The sequence below is a fragment of the Homo sapiens genome, chromosome 5 (genome assembly GCF_000001405.40).
Source record: "Homo sapiens chromosome 5, GRCh38.p14 Primary Assembly".
NCBI classification, from domain to species: domain Eukaryota; kingdom Metazoa; phylum Chordata; class Mammalia; order Primates; family Hominidae; genus Homo; species Homo sapiens.
Window position 1 is genome coordinate 21,926,834 of NC_000005.10, and position 21,578 is coordinate 21,948,411.

Genomic DNA, 21,578 nt, shown 5'->3' on the forward strand with positions numbered 1-21,578 from the left:
TAGAATGTTCTCTCCTGGTTGCTGTTGTTTTCACTATAAAAAATGAAGTAGGATATTAGTTGAGAGAAAACATGGAGGAGGAGTTGGTGAAGGTTTGAGGAAACAGCATATGAGAAAAGGAACGTTTTTAAGATTTTCTAGGCCAGCAGTTGACTAAATGAATGAGGGAAATTTCTTGGGATAACCAAGCAGCATATGGGACCACTTGGAGTTTGTGGTCATAGCAAACAAGTCAGCATGGCTGTGTATTTCCGTCAGCCACAGTACACTGTCGTAATGGCAGATGTGGAGTAAGTAGAGAGGCAGAGTTAGCCAGGGCTGGTGTATTATCAAGTAATTAAGGAGCAAAATTTTAAATTATATGCAAGAGAGTGAAATAACAATTAACCATGACATTTAAGATGGGTAAGGAGGAATAGAAGATGGGTAAGATGGAAGAGATTAAAAGTGAAAAATATTATAATAAATCAGGCCGGGCACGGTGGCTCACGCCTGTAATCCTAACACTTTGGGAGGCCCAGGTCGGCAGATCGCTTGAGCTTGAGTTTGAGAACAGCCTGGGCAACATGGTAAAACCCTGTCTCTACTAAAAATAAAAAAAAAAATTAGCTGAGTATGATGATGGCGTGTGACTGTAGTCCCAGCTACTCAGGAAGCTGAGGCACAAGAATCACTTGAACCCGGGAGGCGGAAGTTGCAGTGACCCAAGATTGTGCCACTGCACTCCAGCCTGGGTGACAGAGGAAGACTCTGCTCAAAAAAACAAGAAAGAAAGAAAAGTATTATAATAAATTCATAATAGTGTTTAGTGTGTGGGGGAAGGAGTAAATTATTAAATTATTAGAATCTGATTACTAGAGGGAAAGAACTGGAAAGACTGTGGTCAGGGATTCAGATGCTTGCAATTGAGATTTCAGAGTCTGGTTATTGGTAGTAAGAATGATGGTGAAAACAGGCCTGGTGCGGTGGCTCACGTCTGTAATCCCAGCACTTTGGGAGGCCGAGGCAAGCGGATCGTGAGGTCAGGTGATCGAGACCATCCTGGCTAACACGGTGAAACCCCGTCTCTACTAAAAATACAAAAAAAAATTAGCTGGGCTTGGTAGCTGGCGCCTGCAGTCCCAGCTACTCAGGAGGCTGAGGCAGGAGAATGGCGTGAACCCGGGAGGCGGAGCTTGCAATGAGCCCAGATCTCGCCACTGTGCTCCAGCCTGGGAGACAGAGCGAGACTCTTCCTAAAAAAAAAATAAAAGAATGATGGTGAAAACATTTGACTATGGTAATAAGAACAATGATGAAAACATTTGACTATGACTATGATCATCTGCCATCTTTATAGATATTGAAACCACCAAGAATCACAACATAGGTTGTTCTGGAGAGAGACCTAGAGCGGGCTTCAAGGTAAAGTTTCCAGTATTTTGAAAGGCTTTAGTGAGGACAAAAGAAAAATGATCCAGAATAGACAATAAGGAAAATGAAACACACTCATTCTCACCTTCAGTGTTCCTAGCATGGAGTTAGTGGGAGAAAAAATAGCCACTTTACATTTGGAGGAAAGCAATGTTGTCATGCAAGACTCCAGTGCTGGTTAGAGCAAGAAGATGAATGAGAGAGCAGACATTGAGAACATTCAACATTCAAGATTTTGCTTATGATGTATTGCATGTTCCAAAGCACACTCTAGACAATGTCAGGAGTTGGAAAAGGATGAGCGATGGAAACAGAAAATATGCAGTGATGTATGAGGATTAGAGTTTATCAGCCATTTGTGTCACTGTTTTTTTAAGTATGCTCGTGTCTTCTAAAAATTCTATCAAGAGTTTTTTTTTAATTTTGTATTTTTTGTATACTAGTTATTAATTGAGCTTTGCATATTTACTCTTGGCATACATTATTTCCTTGCCAATGAACTGAGTAATGCTATCAGATATTTTACCTTTTTAATGTAATTTTACAAGTCTTTTGGCTAATCCCCAAAATGGAAAAATCTACATTCCACTTTGTGTTTTTGGTGATTTGTAACATTTGTAGTATAAATTACTCTTTCAATTTAACATTCTTTCCTTGAAAGAAGAGCACATATTCTTGGGTCTTTGATCATTCTTGATTTTCCTTCTTCATTCTTTGCTCTTCCATAAATGACCATCATACAAGACCACCCAGAATTCACCCTTCCTGCACAGATTTTTGGCATGGAAGAGAGAAAAAGGAGATTTATGGTAATGAGAATACTATTAGGAAATCAAGGGGAAGTGGGAGGCCAAATATATATTCAAAATTGGGCTGTAGGAATGTACTCTATATCAGCGGTCCCCAACCTTTTTGGCACCAGGGACCAGTTTCATGGAAGACAATTCTTCCATGGATGGTGGGTGGAGGGGGATGGTTCCAGGAAGATTCAAGCACATTACATTTACTGTGCTCTTTATTTCTATTATTATTACATTTTAATATATAATGAAATAATTATACAACTCACTGTATAGAATCAGTGGAATCCTAGAGCTTGTTTTCCTGCAACTAGATGGTCCCTTCTGGGGTGATGGGAGACAGTGACAGATCATCAGGCATTAGATTTTCATAAGGAGTGTACAGCCTAGATCCCTGGCATGCTCAGTCCACAATAGGGTTCATGCTTCTATGAGAATCTAATGCTACCACTGATCTGACAGGAGGCAGAGCTCAGGTGGTAATGCAAGTTACCAGGGTCTTGCTCTGTCACCCTGGTTGGAATCAGTGGTATGATCTCCGCTCACTGCAGCCTCAACCTCCCCAACCTCAGGTGATCCTCTCACCTCAGCCTCCCGAGTAGCTGGGACTACAGGTGTGTGCCACCACACCTGGCTACTTTTTGTATTTTTTTGTAGAGGCGGGGTTCACCATGTTGCCCAGGCTGGTCTTGAACTCCTGGACTCAAGTGATTCTCCTGCCTCAGCCCATCCAAAGTGCTGGGATTACAGGCATGAGCCACAGTGTCCAGCAATAAGATATTTTGAAAGACAAGAAAACTGAACAATTTCCTACAGATATATGTCCTCCTGGGCAAAGATGACAGATAATACTGCTCTCATATATCCTAGATAATCCCACAGCCCAAAATGCCCTCTGGAAATTCTACCATGGTTCACTCATTTTGAGTATCAGATGGTTTTCTGAAGGGCAGCACAACTCCATTTACTGTTATTTTGGTGTTAGTTACTATGTAATCAGAAATTTTGCTTTACCAGTTAGTTAGTAACATAGTAAATATGGATAATCTTGATTTGGTAGAGACAGTGTCTCAAATCACAGATTTAATGAGTGAAGGATGGACAAAGAGGGCTGGCTTCAGTGAGCTGTGAAAGTGATTAGTGCTTATGTTTGGAGCAAGAAAGAGGGTCTTGAAAAAGATTGATTGGTAATTCTGAGAGGAAATGATGTTGCCATGTTTAACTGCTTGACACATGCCAGATTGCAGCACCACTGTTTGCTAGTCATGATTGTGGAGGAAACTTTTCTTATTATTATTAAATCAAAGTTTAAAATATAGAGAGTGATTTTACATTATGTGGAAGTTTTTACACAAAGTGTAATCTTAGTAATACAATATCCATATTTGCCAGGGACAATCTTGATTTACAGTCATTTCCCATCATGCCTTTTGGTTAATTCTTGTCCTAGGTCACATTATCCTAGCTTGCAAGATACATAATAGGGTTGTCCTGATTATAACCTGTTTCTTGAAAATTTAGCGCACTGTCTGACTCTTTGTAGACACTCAACAAATGTTGGTGATTTTTATTAGAATATTAACTCCCATCCCTACTATATTCCTTCTTGCATGATGCTGGAACATTTTATTACTTCTCCAAGCCTCAGTTTATTCATCTGTAGAATAAGAATGTAGCACAGTATAAGTACATAAAAAAGTTGTAACATACAATTGTTGAGGTTAATGAAATAATTCATAGATCAACAACTTCGTATAATAAGAACATATAAAGTTATTGATAATTGATGTGTAAGTAGTTAACATTACCATCATTTTTATTACAAAAATACCTCAAATGAGCTGTATTTAGTATTCTAGACCCAAATTAGTGGATTATTGAATCACATCCCATAACCTAAAAGGGATTTTGGAAGGATTTAGGAAGATCATGGGGAGCTGGGGAAAACAGGTATGTGCCAAAATGTCTCGAGCTTTATGTGTATAAAGTGCTCTCAGTGTTAATGTTAATACATAGGCAGATTGTTTTATGACATAACTTTTAGCTGGATCATTCACAAGTCCAAGTGGTCCATTAAATTCACAGAGCCTCTATCTTTATTGCTAGAACAGGATATCTTATTAGTATTCCAGAGCATATGATACAACAACTTACAGGATTCAAATGCCTGTGAAATTTGAGAACACTGAAAGTTGTGATAGAGGAAAAAAAAGCTAAGAAGAGAATAGAAAAAAAAATAGAACATTTCCTCACACTGGTTCCCAGCTGGGATTACAGCTGCTTGATTCATACCATCTGGGGGTGTCTAATTAGAAACTACCTATAATAGGCTTTTAAAGAAGTAATTTGAGAATAAACTTAACATCAGCTGCAGTTCAGATCCCAGAGGGCCTGGAGTTAAGGTAGCATGAACTAATGGATCAATGAACAAAAGAAATATTCACTAATAGCGGTGCTTGAACAAAGTTACTCCTGAAAAAAGCAAAATGTCACATGTTTTTTCAATGCATAATAAATCTGCCCAAGAATAACTGACTTTCAGGTTAACACATAAAAATGAGAAGCTATGCATATTATAGTGAGCACAGTCTGACTCCCACATTATGGTTTAAGTTGTTTTCCAATCTTAAATCCAATTTTTAAAATATCATAATGCACTAATTCCAAAATAGACTGCACTTTAGTCTACCAATTTGGCCAATTATGGTTGGATTTTCCTTCCTAAACCTTTTCTTGATTTTGTGTACTAAGACTGGCCTTAAGAAGAGACAAATTGATTGCTCTTTTCCTGTTTAACCTCATTAGTAAAGATTTCATTGACCAACAAGATTGATTCAGACATAAAGGTGTCATGGAGATTTTTAGAAATAAAAATCATGCTGTTGATAGCATAAGTGGTCAAGACTTGAAAGGTGGACCCTGGGGGTGATGACAAACACAGGTTTTTTAATCTTTCAATTTTATAATCACGGCATTTTAACAACTTTTACTGATGTCTGTTATCTGTCACCAATGTTAAGTTTTACAAAACAACATTAGGATACTCTACACAAATGAAACAAACATGAATTGTTTTACTTTTAATCATAAGATAGTGATTTTATTTTAAAGTGTTGGAATTAACTCTACCTCATATGCTGGTCAAATATAATATGCACCAGTAAAACTATTTAGCAAATGGGAACACGCTATGGCCTAATAAAAGAGACTACAGTCATACTTTTTAAAAAATTAATTAGTAGCAAACTTCAATGTTTCATTGATTCTATTTTGTCCTCTAAAAATGAAATAAGAATTAATTTTCTGGATATTGGAACATCCTTTGATGTGCAGTTAAAAACACAAACATAAATCATTGTGATTAAAATAAAAGTCATTCAATAAAAAATTAATCACTACATTCTTTTGGATAAAAAATACTCAGCTCTCTGCAGAGGAACTCTGACACAGCAAAGTTTGAAACATCCAGAATTTTGTGGTTTCTATTAATTTGTTTTCACTGTCTTGTCTGTTATCAAATTATAATTGCACATCATTCAAAAAATAAAAATAAAAATAAAAGAGACTAGCAAGGCCGGGTGCGCTGGCGCACGCCTGTAATCCCAGTACTTTCGGAGGCCAAGGCAGGTGGACCATGAGGTTAAGAGATCGAGACCATCCTGGCCAACATGACAAAACCCCATCTGTACTAAAAATACAAAAATTAGCTGGGTGTCATGGCACATGCATGTAGTCCCATCCTGGTGACAGAGCAAGACTCCATCTCAAAAAAAAAAGATAGTAGCAAATGTTGCAATACTAGATAAAATCATGTACAATTTTTAAAACATGTACATTGCCATCATGTCATAGTTTTTGCTGTTTCTTTTCTAATTCCAAAGTAAAATATCCACGTACAAAACTCTCACTTTCTTTATCATTGTATCTAGTATCTCAGGAATTGACAGAGCTATTTTCAATTGTAGAGAAAAATATGAAATTGTATATCCAACATTAGCAAGCTATCATCGATATTCATTAAGTACATTATCTCATACATAACAAGTGGAAAATGTTCTCTTGACACACACGAGAGTTTAATATTTAGATCACAATCACTAAGAATATTTAAATCTGAAGCAGATAAAGTTTCATGGTTTTAATTCCCAATTTATAATTATTTAATTTAATGTCATTATATTTGTGCTATTATTAATTTTATTATGTTGAACATCAGTTATCTCTTTTTTATACGTTGAAATTAAATATGAGACTAATAGGCTGTATATCCTAATGAGACTTGGGTATAACTAAAGTGAAAATGCCATTGGGCCTCAAATACAGTGTTCTAAGAGGGAACAGGGCAGAGCATCCATGATATTTTTTAGTATTCCAAAATGCACCTCCAGTAAATCAGGTTTATAATAAAACAGCACTTCTAAATAATTAAGGAAATATTAACTTGGGCATATCAAGATTCATTGCAAAGTGGGAGGAAGGTTTATTTAAAAACAACTTTTGATGGAATATCATCCATATATTCTACAGCATATAATACTCCTGGGGGGATCCTCTTTTGACTCAAGATTTATATTAACAAAACAAGTAGCAGATTAGCACAGGTGGAAAGAGAAAATTTGTCAACTGAGAAATGGGAGGTTGCTCTAGATGTAAATTAAGTGGTAGAAAGTACTGACATAAGAATGGGAGATGGTAATGGATCTGAACATAGATATCTAGGGGAGAAATTTATATATGGCAACTGTGGAAAAGAGGAGGTGGAGGAGAAGCGGTAAGGCAGGGAGAATTCATTACACATTTGTTCACTGAACTCAAACGTGGCAGTGTACTCCCCTGTGAAACTTTTGTAATCAGATAGAAGATAAAACTAACAGAAAGCACGAAGCAGTCACTAAATCTTTTTACTATCTATGGATTCTGGCCACAGCCATAAGATTTATTTGACAAAAGGATTGCTTGAAAACAGCAAATTGTGTCATTGGGTATTTTTCTTTGGAGAACATGACACTTCAACTTTCTCAAATTCAATTTTTACAGACTTACAGCTCCATATTGAGTTACACACACCCACACACACACACTCACACACACACACACATTTAAGTGGTTTGGGTCTGTGTCCCCGCCCAAATCTGATGTGGAATTGTGATCCCCAGTGTTGGAGGTATGGCCTGGTGAGACGTGATTGGATCATAGGGGCAGAGTTTTCATGAATAGTTCAGCACCATCCCCCTTTGGTAATGTATCCTGAGTGAGTTCTCACAAGATCTAGTTGTTTAAAAGTGTGTGGCAATTTATTATGCATGAGCATATGTATGTTATTTCACCCAATGTAATATGTGATAATATGTATCAACTGAGCACTGCTCAACTAAATTATGGTATAGCCATCTGATGGACTACTCAGATTTCCAAAAGAAAGGTAAAGTAAGTATTGATATGGAAAACTCTCCAATATACAATATCAATGCATAAATGGGGATATTAATTAATAAATTCTTCTGTTAAAAATATGAAAAAGTCATATGCACTTCCATACATATATATGCACACAAAGTTATACAATGTGTGGATTTATGTATGTGCGTGTATGCATGTGTTGGTGTCTGTGAGTTTATGTATACCATAAGGAAGCACTAGAAACTCTCTTTGATGGTTTCTGGTGGGGAGAAAGGCTAGAGCCTTGCCCTCGTTTTCTTCTCCCTTTTCCTCTTTCTCCCCCTTTCCCTCCACATTCTTCCTTTTCTCCTTTTTTTTTGACACGGAGTATCCCTCTGTCACCCAGGCTGGAGTGCAGTGGCGCGATCTTGGCTCATTGCAAGCTCCGCCTCCCTAGTTCATGCCATTCTCCTGCCTCAGCCTCCCGAGTAACTGCGACTACAGGCGCCCGCCATCACGCCCGGCTAATTTTTTGTTTTTTTCGTAGAGACGGGGTTTCATCGTGTTAGCCAGGATGGTCTGGATCTCCTGACTTCGTGATCCGCCCACCTCGGCCTCCCAAAGTGGTGGGATTACAGGCGTGAGCCAACGTGCCCGGCCCCTTTTCTCCTTTCAATTCTTTCTCTCCTCTCCTTCTTTTGCTGCTTCTCCTTCTCCTCCTCTTCTACCTACTCCAATCATATTTGGATGGCTTTTCATATATTGTGCTAAGTTTCAAAATTTACAGTGCTTCTCAGTGATGAGATCATGGGCTAATTTTATATATGCTTTCATTTTCTCTAATTTTCTATATTAAAAATATAATACTAGTTATTAAAAATATTTATTCAGTTTAGACATGGCTATGCAGACATTGCTAAACTTTCACAACATTAAGCTCTACATACCTCAAAGCATAGCCAAGGAAGAAATGATTCTTGTCTAAACTAATGCACTTCTAGTAAACTAAGATGTAACATTTCCCTCTTTTTTATTTTTATTTTTTGTGGGTAGGTAGTAGGTGTATATATTTATGGAGTACATGAGATGCTTTGATACATGCATAATAATCACATCAGGGTAAATTGAATATCCATCACTTCACACAGTTATCCTTTGTGTTACAAACAATCTGATTATACTCTTCTAGTTATTTTAAAATGTACAATTAAATTATTTTTGACTATAGTCACCCTGTTGTGCTAGCAAATGCTAGGTCTTATTCATTCTTTCTAACTATGTTTTTATACCTATTAGTCTGCCCCGCTTTCCTCCCAAACCCTCACTACCCTTCTCAGCCTGTTAACCTTTATACTGTTTATCTCCATGAGTTCAACTGTTTTAAGCCTTAGCTCCCACAAATAAGTGAGAGCATCCGAAGTTTGTCTTTCTGTGCCTGGCTTGTTTCACTTAACATAATGACCTCCAGTTCTATCCACATTGTAGCAAATGACAGGAACTCATTTTTTTTTATGGCTGAATGGTATTCCATTTTGTATATGTACTATATTTTCTTTATTCATTCATCTCTTGATGGATGCTTAGGTTGATTCCAAATTTTGGCTATTGTGAGTAGTGCTGCAATAAACATGGAGTGCAGATATCTCTCTGATATACTATGTCCTTTCTTTTGGTTATATACCCAGGAGTGGGATTGCTGGATCATATGATAGCTCAATTTTTGCTTTTTGAGAAACCTCCAGACTGTTCTCCTTAAGGGTCATACTAATGTACATTCCCACTGACAGTGTACAAGGGTTCCTTTTTCTGTATCTCCGCGCCAACATTTGTTATTGCCTGAATTTGGGATAAAAGCCATTTTAACTGGGGCCTCTTAACTTTTTCCCCACACATTTCTTAATTCCTTGATGAAAAATGCTAAAAGATAAGTCACTTTCATACTTTCTAGATATAGTTATTCATTCACTCTTTTATTTTTTTAAGTTTCTTATTTAATAGATATGTATTAAATATTTACCTTGTCTCAGCCAATGTAATGTGTGACAGGCATACAAAGATGAATATAGCAGAAAGTTTATGCCTCTTAAGAAGCATAATGAAGTCATTTAAACAAATAATAGCTACAAATTTTGATAAGCACTGTCATAGAGGTAAGAATATTATGGTGGGGTGGGACGGAAGAAATTAAAATATGTCAATCTACTTTGCGTTGTAAGGAAAATCTTGGCAAAGAAGATACATGTTATGATTTGGCTCTGTGACCCCACCCAAATCTCAACTCGAATTGTAATCCCCATGTGTCATGGGGAGGGACCTGGTGGGAGGTGATTAGCTCAAAGGGGTGGTTTTCTATGCTGTTCTTGTGATAGTGAGGGGGTTCTCAGGAGATCTGATGGTTTTATAAGTGGCAGTTTCCCCTGCATGCTCTCTCTCTTACCTGCCACAGTGTAAGACTTGCCTTGCTTTCCCTTCACCTTCCACCATGATTATAAGTTTACTTATAAGTTCAGCCATGTGGAACTGTGAGTCAAGTAAGCCTCTTTTGTTTATAAATTATCCATTCTCAGGTAGTATCTTTATAGCAGTGTGAAATGGACTAATAAGATAAACTTCAATAGAATACTTAAGAAATTGTGGTAATCAACTAGTTTATGAATGGAAAGAATCATTTTATCAAAGGAAATTAAAAGCATAACAATGTGGCATTAAAACAGATTAGGCAGTTCTGAGGGTTGTAAGGATGATGGAACAGGTACATAATAGGACAATATGGGAGAATAATTAAAGAAGTCCTGAGGGTAGGTGACTGAGGCCTTATATGTTATAAAAGGGGGATTTTACTCTAGGAATTGGGAAAGTGTTTTAAGAAAGAGAATAGTGTGATTATATTTGCTTTTTAGTTTGAAAAGAAGTAGCCTGGAAATGAATGAGATTACAGCCAGAGAAGAGAGAGAATATATTTTGATGAAAGAATATATTTGGATACTGATACAATAGTCCAGGTTAAAGATGATTTGGACCCTGGCACATGGAGGATGCTGTAGGGTCATAAAGGAAGAAATGGTAATAAAAATAACTAAAGTTCAATTGGATGAAGTTTTCAAGCCAACAAAGCATAAAACACAGACACAAAAATGATGTCTAAAATGATTTCTTAGTTTCTTAATCATGTATTAGGTGTCAACCAAGATAGGGAATACAGACAGAGCAGTAAAGAGTTCAGCCCCAGACTCAATCCTATATGTGATTTTTGGGCCCATCCATAAACTTGACCAAGTGGGTCCCACAGGGAGAGCTGCCCTCCCTACACTAGTGCATAGTCCTCTAATGGCAGTTTCAGTAAGGGCTGCAGGGCCATGCTCACACACAGATCAGCATCACTTGACTGGTGCCTCCCCTGGAGGCCTCTCCACTGTGGGACCTTGGCAGACCTTCCCCAAGCATGTTTGCCCAAGACCTCCTTTTCATGGGGAGAGGAGGAGGAGTCTTGAAGACAATTGTCTTCCTTCTGATTCAATACTCAGTGCTTTTCCACTACCAGCCTTTTCCTGACCTTCCATAAAACTGCAGGAGCCTGTTGTTCAGGGTTCCTTTGATAGACAACCCCACATCTGTGCCGACCCATGTGATCCTTGATAGAGCTGTTTCATGGAGGAAAAAAAGGATGGGAACTGGACCGTCAGGGCTTTTTCCAGTTTAACCTCAAAGGTTTGTTAATGTCCTTTTGTCTTGATGTCTTAATTGCCTACTCCAACACCTGGCTCTCTCTCCAGAGTAGTTAAGCTCCTGATGGCTGGGGATAAATTTAATGACTACTGTTTTGTATAAGTTGAGGTTAATCTAATTAATTTACCTAGAGGGAAAATTCTGACCTCTATCTGTCAGACCTCATTTAAAACACAGAGGTCATGAAGATAAATCTGGCTTCTGCCTTCAAGGAGCTTACAGTCTGGTGAAGATGATAGCTGGATAGCTAGACATAACAATAAAACCACAGCTGTTCCCTTGTGATAATTTCTGTTATGAGTTATGTACAGTGGAATATGAAAAATATATAAATGGTACATAACCAATTCTAGGAGGTCAGGGCAAGCTTCCTGGGAGAAATGCTGTCTATAGGTAGACACAGAGAGACAAGAATCAAAGCCTCTTCTGAAGAAGGGTTAAATAAATCTCAGGCAGATAGGCTATGCATGACCTGCTTCTTTTATCTGTCATTTTTGTTGTTGAGTTACTTGCTAAATTTTAAGAATTTTATATATATAATATATTTATAATATTTTATATATATAATATACATATATATATATATATATATATATATCTTCTACATATCAGTGCTCTGTCAATTCAGCCTAATTCTGGCAAAAGCATTAAGGACTTCAATTTTTACCAGGTTTGAAAGGGGAGCAGTCCTTTGAATTAGAATTATTTGAAAAACGTAGGGCTATTCTGAAACAACAACCCAATTGAAAATGCATGGACACTATAACTATTATACTTCCAGATGCATACAAAAATACTTTTATTGTCACATGGGCACAAAGATGTATATTGAAAGCTGTTCACTGAAACAGTATTTATAATAATGAAACCTGGAAGCAACATATCTCTTAATGGGGATATAGACAAGTAAAGTACAACATACACATGTTATAGAAAAAAATGCAGCCTTCTAAAAAATGGGTAAGCTGTATAGATATAGAAAAGAAAAAAGCATTGTACAAATAATATGTATACTTTAATAAAAGTTGTACTAAATTTTAAATGTAATATAAATATCATACCTTCTATATATATATATAAAATTATCAAAAAAAGACTGAATTATAATACATGAAGAGTAGGAAAAAATAGTTGCACTGAGTTTTATATTTTCTGAATGTTTAAATCTTTCCACACAATATGTAATAATTAGACTTTTAAAATGCCAGTAAGGTAATATATACAAATAGCTAATTAAAGCTTAATAAGAACTTTGGAAAAATATTTTTAATAAAGGTTTTACATACATCAGGGTTACAATTAAATTTAACATGCTTTTTATTTTGTCAATTTCTTTTATTTAAAAAATACTTAAACTAACTTCCTTTTTGCTTTTTCCTATTAAAAGAAAAAGCATTTTGCCCTCACAAAAGAAAATTAGTTTCAGATTACTAGTAATTATTTAGGTACTAATTAAAAAAATGAATCTCAGTTACTAAATACACAAATAAGGGAGTTATATGAAACTGTGCAGTAGTCATTATATGGATAGTCATATTTAAAATAAAATGAAAAGAGACTAAAATATGCATTTGTGCTTTTAACTCTGAAAACCTGAATAGGTATTCAACTGTTGATTCTGAGTATTTACAGAACTTTATTCCTTCTTTGGACATGCTTTGGCAGTTTTTACCTAATGTATACACATTTTTGCCTTGTTCTTAATAATTAAAAATATGAGAAAAAGATATTCAAAAAGTGGTTTTTTGTGCGTACTGATGATAAACACTAATATAAAAAGTTACAGAGGTCGGGCACAGTGGCTCACACCTGTAATCCCAGCACTTTGGGAGGCCACAGTGAGTGGACCACTTGAAGTCAGGAGTTTTAGACCAGGCTGGCCAACATGGTGAAACTCCATCTCTACTTAAAAAAATAAATAAATAAATAAACAGGCATAGTGGCTCACGTCTGTAATCCCAGCTACTGGGGAGGCTGAGGTGGGAAAATCACTTGAGCCCAGGAGGCGGAAGCTGCACTGAGCCAAGATCACGCCATTGCCCTCCATCCTGGGTGACAAAGCGAGACTCCATCTCAAAAAAAAAGAAAAGTTATAGAAATAAATATGATGATATGATTTACTGAAAGCAAGTCTCAAATGCCTAAAAAAGGCCAAACTTCCTTTGGTCTTTGGATATCATTCTGGAGGGTGGGTGAGTCTACTTTTGTTTAAAACGTGTTATTTTCATTTATTTTTGAGCAAAAATATCATTTTATAATTTACACTTATTGAACATAATTGTGGAAATACTACTAAATTGTCTCCACATGGAAAATTTCTTGTGACATGTATTTCTTCTAACTTGTGAAGTTCACAGCTATTTCAAAAAACAGTTAAGCTTGTTCCAAAAACTCACTGCCATCCCACCAAACACACATATGGACTTGAGAATAATTAGGCTTTCAGAAACCATTTTAGTATCCAATTAATTGTAGTTTTCTTCAGAAAGTGGTGTAAATCTGATTATATATAGTTGCTTCATGTAGTATAAATCTGATTATACACAATTGTTTCATATAGTATATATCTGATGATATACAATTGCTTCATGTAGTTAAACTTGTTACTAGATAATCCACGTGTAATTGTCACAGAAAGTCTTACGTGTACATTTGGACAATGTCTCTATCTCTGTTTCTTTCTCTCTGTTTCTCTCTCTCTCTCTCTCACACACACACACACAGTCCTTTACAATTACTTTGGAAAAAAATCACAAAAAGGAAAAAATCATTAATCTGAGATTATAACATAAAACCCACAATTTGTCGGTAAACCATCTTTAAATCTATGTTTATACTTGAAATCTACTAGGCTTATGAGAGTCAAAGACTTCCAAGCTTTGAATATTCTTTTTGCTTCAAAAGGAACTGAAAATCTAAATGTAATTTGGTACACCTTTTAAAATATTCACTGCTGCCTGCCAGCTAGCTGCAGGTTATTTTAGCTACTAGAAGCAGCACTAATTTGCAATATCTTTCTAAGACTATCTATAGGTAAAAATTTGACATTGGCTGACTCTAACCAATGTCAAGCTTTAGGATAGCAACATCATCCCTAAAAGAAAAATGAGAAATAACCTAACTATCTAAACATCAAAAACAAATTAACCTTGCCTGACCATTTTTAGGACAACATAATGGTTTCTTGAGATTTTTCAACATTTATGAAAAGATAAAAATTAAGATGAGTCATTTAATAGCATGCATGCTTGAACCAATAAAATGATTTCTTATTTTATGAGTTGTTTTTAAAAAATGAGCCCAGATGTTTCAAATTATAAATAATTTGTCAATTTATGCATAAAGCCAAATTTGAAAAATGTGACTGGTCATTCCCATTAAGAAACTCAACTGAAAATCTGTTTCACTGAATCAAGCTTAAATAAGTAATTGTGTACTTAGATGTAGCTGAATTCTAAGAACTATTTGGACCACAACTTATAGACTATTTATATATTTTGCAAACTGTTTGCTGTTCTCTGACTTCAAGTAAGAGAGAGATATTAAGTGACAAATCATACAACGGAAAGGGAGTTATATAGGAAGACTCTCCATTTTGACTCAGAATACAATATGTACCCATCTTTAAGTTTTAATGGGGAGAACTGTGTGGCTGACTTTTTTTTTTCCCAATCTAGCTTCCTCATTTGGAAGAATGTTTTGTTTCTGTATATGAAAACTGAAGGATTTCTATTCAAGGCCACTGTGGTAGACAGAATAATGGCTTACTAAAATGTCGACGTCCTAATTTCTGGAACCTGTGAAAATGTCACCTTCCATGACAAAAAGACATTGTAGAAGCAATTATTTAAGGATCTAGAGATGAGAATATTAAGGTGGGTTATTTGGGTGTTCCAAATGTGAACCCAAGTGGAGTTCTTGTAAGACTGAGAAGATGCCTTCGAGTTAGGAAGGAGATGGGAGATGTGTCATGAAAGCAGAGGTTGGAGTGACAGGATTTCAAGTTGGAGAAAGGGGTTATAGCCAAGAATCCAAGCAGCCTCAAGAGAGTAGAAGCTCTTGATCTTCACCTATGTGACTCTATTTTAGTCTTTACTTGCAGAACTGTAAGATAGTAGATTTGTGGTGTTTTAATCCACTAAGTTGGTAGTAATGTGCTCCAGCCACTATGAGACAAATACAGTATATATATATATACACACACACACACACACACACACACACACACACACACACACATATATATGTGTGGGTGTGTATTAGGAAAAGTAGTAAATCTAAATCTAGATTTTCTCATTCTCACCTAGGTTCTTATATTTTTAATTATATAACTAGTTACATAACATTATTTATATAATACTAGTTATATAAATAGTGCTCTATTGTTTTCCTTGTATTTTAATTTTTCTGTTAAAAGAAAGTTTAAGAACATATGTATCCATATATGTATATACACATGCAGAAATGTATATCTGTGTATGTGTGTGTGTTTATATATGAGTATATATATTCAAAGTTCTGAAATGTTTTTCAAAGCAATGCTGGCAATGGAATTCTCATTTCTATGTGTCTTTTCTGTGGAGGTTTAAGTATGATTTATTTGGGAATTGCTACATTATCCTGACAAAAATATAACAGTAGTGGCAATATATAATCCCCCAAAAATGTTAAATCTCCAGATAACTTTTAATGAGTTGGCATTGACTAGTATGAGAAAAACAAGGCACAGAGAGTGATATGGTTTGGCTCTGTGCTGTCACCCAAATCTCATCTTGAATCGTAATCCCCATAATGCCCATGTGTTGAGGGGCCTGGTGGGAGGTGATTGGATCATGGGCACAGTTTCCCCTAGATGTTCTCATGATAGTGAATGAGTTCTCATGAGATCTGATGGTTTTACAAGTGTTTGACAGTGCCTCCTTCACATGCTCTCTCTCCCCTGCTGCCATGTAAGACGTGCCTGTTTCCCCTTCCACCATGATTGTAAGTTCCCTGAGGCCTCCCCAGCCATGCAGAACTGTGAGTCAATTAAGCCTCTTTCCTTTGTAAATTACCCTGTCTCAGGTATTCTTTATAGCAATGTGAAAATGGATTAATACAGAGAGTCTACACATTTCTTTATATAAGATATACTTGTTTTCTGTTTATAGTTAGCATTTACAAAGTTTACAGTAAAATTTTTACTTACATTTATATAACATTGAATTTATTCTCAAAATTTTATGCAACCAATTACATACATTTTAGATCTAAAGTGGACTTTGTTTTTTTCCATGGAATAAGTATTTTGTAGGACTTCTCTTCAATATTGGTGTGTAGAAAAAAAAATGTGAACTTCAAGTTTCAATCAATTAAACTTTTGCTTAAACTGAAAAGCCATGCCAACACACAAAAAGGTCATCTGGGGTGTGCCATTACATTAGGATTACATACGGGTACTACACACTCAGTTGTGTAGGAAATAAGAATGGATTATACTTAAACCTCTAAAGGATGGCCTGAATTAAAGAGATAGAAAATGGGAGTTAATATTGCTAGTGTTACCATGTAAAATTTAATAATTATTTGCTTAATTATTGTCTTATTAATTTAATAGTTTCTAAAGAGAAATTTCATTAACAAATTAACAGGAACAGCTACAAAATTTGCAGTGTTCAGTGCAAAATTAAAATATAGGACATCTTACTCAAAAATTATTTAAAACTTGACACGAATGACACCAAAGAATTAGCCAAGTGATGGGCCCCTGCAAATGAGCAGATCACATAAATCTATCCCTGAACATCAGTTAGTTATAAAAAAAATAAGAAATTAAGGCTGGGACCCATATCCATAATTTTACCCATACCTGCATTTATATCTGTATTTATATACCTATAAGAGTATTTAGATCTATTTATTCACAATCTCAGAATCAGATTGTAGAGACATTTAAAGATTAACTAATACAAACTTGTCCTCTTACAAAAGAGAAAACTGAGCCGCAGTGCTTTGATTGTATCAGTAGCTAATATTAGAAATAAAAGCAGCACATTATCTTAAATATTTTATGTTTTTCTTATTACTAACAGTTTAGTGCTCCTATGTATTTTGTAGTACTTCTCTTCAATATTGGTGTGTAGAAAGAAAATGTGAACCCCGAGTTTAATCAATTAAACTTTGATTAAACTGAAAAACCATAGTCAATCCCAATACATAAAAGGGTCATCTGGGGTGTGCCATTGCATTAGGATTACATACTGGTACTATATGTTGCTGTTACATGCTATTTCACTCAGTCGTGTAGGACAGAAGCATGGATTATACTTAAACTTCTAAAGAATGACCTCAATTAAAGAGATAGAAAATGGGAGTTAATATTGTTAGTGTTGCCATGTAAAATTTAATAATTAATATAATGTCTCATATATTCTGTGGTGATTAATTGGTGTGGATTATTTAAGCCACGAGAATAAGTACTATAAAAGCAATAATTTATAATAGGGTCTTTAATGATCAGTTCTGTTCTTACACAGCTTCTTCCAACTCCTACTCCTTGGAAGCAACCAAGTGGTATGAGTTGGCCCCTACTCACCCCCTCCCTGGTGTCAGTGGACCATATCAGGGAAGTGAGGTTATTTTTTCACTTGGAGGAAACAAAGATATGTAACTCAGTACCCTACTTTTGCCATGAGGTTGCCAGTGGGTGGAGGGAGAAGACAAACTTCCACCTAACCAGTCTACAAGAAGGAAGTATAAGTTAGTACTCTACTTTTGATAGGATGGTATTAGTAGGTCCCATCAGGAAGATAAACATGCACACCCACCCAGCTCTCAGGTTACACATCAATAGGGAACCATCTACGAAATAATAAGAGAGAAAAGATTCTCATAATATAAAAAAATATTCAGGACACAATAAAAATCACTTATAAAACAAAAGAACTAGGAAATCATAACCTGAATAAGAGAAAGACAACAGACACCAACACAGACATGAAAAAGGTGTTGGGGCTGGGCGCAGTGGCTCACACCTGTAATCCCAGCACTGTGGGAGGCCAAGATGGGTGGATCACTTGAGGTCAGGAGTTCAAGACCATCCTGTCCAACATGGCGAAACCCCGCCTCTACTAAAAATATAAAAAGTTAGCCGGGTGCATTGGCACATGCCTGTAATCCCAGCTACTTGGGAGGCTGAGGCAGGAGAATCACTTGAACCTGGGAGATGGAGGTTACAGTGAGCCAAGATCATACCGCTGCACTCCAGCCTGGGCAACAGAGTGAGACTGTTTCAGACAAAAAAAAAAAAAAAAAAAAAAAAAAAAAAAGAGGTTGGAATTATCTAACAAGGATTTTAAAGAAACCATCATAAAAGTGTTTAAATAAGCAATTATATATTGTATTCTCTTGGAACAAATAAAAGTTAAAATTAAAAGTAAATTCAATAATGACATAAGTTATAAAAAGTAAATATGAACTAAATAAAATTAAAATACAATAATGGAAATAATAGATTCAGAGGATGGTCACAAAAGAAGAGAGCACAGAGCAGAAGATGGAATCAGTGAATCTGAAAACATGCCAACAGAATTTACTGTCTGAACAAGAAGAAGAAAACTGATAAAAAAAAAATTTAACAGCATTTCAGGAAACTTTAGAACAATAATAAAAGAGCTAACATTCATAATCACAGGGGATATAGAAGACGAGGAGATAGAATGTGGGACTAAAAAACTATTAAAAAATAATGACTTCAACCTTCCCAAATTGGATGGAAGACATAAACCTAAATATTCAAGAAACAGAGCAAATCTTAAATAGAATACACCCAAATACATTCAATTTCTGGAAATGAAAAAAAAAAATTAAAAATCTTGAAAGCAAACAGAGAAAAATGGCACATTTCTTACAGAAAAACAATAATGTAAACCACAGCAGATTTTCCATCTGAAACCATGAAGGTTGGAAGGAAACAGATAATATTTTTGAAGTACTGAAGGAACAGAACTGTGAACTGTAAATTCAATACCCAGCAATAATATTCTTCAGGCATTAAAGTGACATAGAAAACATTGTCTAATGAAAGAATGCTAAGGTAATGTGTTGCTAACAAACTTACCTTTAAAGAATAAGTTCTCTAAACAGAAAAGAAATGATAAAAGAAGAAGGTTTTCAGCTTTTACAAACATCCATCTAAATGGGTAAAATTAAGCATAAATATAATGTATAATCAAACTTCTGTTAAGTTTTTAAGCCATTTCTAATAGTTGAAGCAAAAATTAGTGACCTACCTGGTTGGATGCTCAAGGAACATAGAGGAAATATTTAAGATAATTATATCTAAAAAGTAGTGATAGTAAAGAGACTCATATGGAAACAAGTTTTCTACACTTCACTCAAAGAGGTAAAACATCAGTAACAGTAGATCTTGACATTACACATATATTATTTTAACCAGTGCAATTAATAAAACCAAACAAAATCATGTACAATCATGCACTGCATAATGATGTTTTGCTCAGCAATAGACTGCATATATCATGGTGGTCCCATAAGATTATAATGGAGATGAATATTACCTAGTGACATTGCAGCTGAGCTGTCTTAACATTATAGTCTAACATATTTCTCACCTGTTTGTGGCAATGATGGTGTAAACAAACCTACTGCATTGCCAGTTATAAAAAAGTGTAGCACATAAAATTATGTCTAGTACTGATATTGTTTGGCTGTGGCCCCACCCAAATCTCATCTTGAATTGTAATCCTCATGATCCTCCCGTGTCAAGGGCAAGACCTGGTGGGAAGTGATTGGATCCTGGAGGCAGTTTCCCTCATGCTGTTCTCATGATAGTGAGTAAGTTTTCATGAGATCTGATGGTTTTAAAAGTGTTTGAAAGTTTCTCCTAGACACACTCATTCTCTCCTGTTGCCTTGTGAAGAAGCCAACTGCTTTTATTCCACCATGATTGTAAGTTTTCTGAGGCCTCTCCAGCCATGCAGAACTATGAGTCAATTAACCCTCTTTCTTTTATAAATTACCCTGTCTTGGGTAGTATCTTTATAGCAGTGTGAGAACAGACTAATAGAGTAAATTGGTACTGGGAGTGGGGCACTGCTATAAAGATACTGAAAATGAGGAAGTGACTTTAGAACTGGGTATCGGGCAGAGGTTGGAAGTGTTTGGAGGGCTCAGAAGAAGACAGGAAGTTGTGAGAAAGTTTGAAACTTCCTAGGGACTTGTGGAATGGTTTTGACCAAAATGCTGATTGTGATATAGACAGTGAAGTCCAAGCTGAGGTGGTCTTGGATGGAGAAGAAGAACTCATTAGGAGCTAGAGCCCAAAGATCACTCTTACTCTGCCTTAGCAAAGAGACTAGAAGCATTTTGCCCCTGTCCTAGAGATCTGTGGAACTTTTAATTTGAGAAACATTATCTCAAATTGGAACTTATGTTTAAAATGGAAGCAGGGCATAAAAGTTTGGAAAATTTGCAGCCTGACCATGCAGTAGAAAAGAAAAACCCATTTTTCAGGGGAGGAATTCAAGCTGGCTACAGAAATTTGCCTAAATAACAAGAAGCCGAATGTTGTTACAGTAGCCAAGACAATGGCAAAATTTTTCTTGGGCGTATCACAGACTTCCATGGCAGCCCTTCTCATCACAGACCCAGCGGCCTCTGAGGAAAAAAGGTTTCATGGGCTGGGCCTATGGCCCCGTTGCTCTGGGCAACCTCAGGACTTGGTGCCCTGTGTCCCAGCTGCTGCTACTCCAGCTCCAGCCGTGGCTAAAAGGAGACAATGTACAGCTCACCTGTTGATTCAGAGGGTGCAAGCCCCAAGCCTTGGAGGATTCCATATGATGTTGGGCCTGAGGGTACACAGAAGTCAAGAATTCAGGTGTGGAAACCTCTGCCTAGATTTCACAGGTTGTATGGAAATGCCTGGATGTCCAGGCCGAGATTGGCTGCAGGGGTGGAGCCATCATGGAGAACCTCTGCTAGGGTAGTGCAGAAGGGAAATGTGGGGTTGGAGCTCCCACACAGAGTCCCCACTGGGGCACTGCCTAGTGAAGCTGTGAGAAGAGGGCCACTGTTCTCCAGACCCCTGAATGGAAGATCCACCAACAGCTTGTACTGTGCACCTGGAAAAGCCACAGACACTCAATGCCAGCCTGTGAAGGAACTGCCCAAGGCCATGGGAGCCCACCCCTTGCATTAACATGCCCTGGATGTGAAACATGGAGACAAGGAGATTATTTTAAAGCTTTATGTTTTAATGAC

General features: G+C 36.4%; 1 protein-coding gene across 9 annotated transcripts in view; it reads right to left on the bottom strand.

The window, feature by feature from the left end:
* Positions 1 to 21,578, bottom strand: part of CDH12 (cadherin 12) — a 1,102,672-nt gene that overhangs the window by 176,161 nt on the left and 904,933 nt on the right.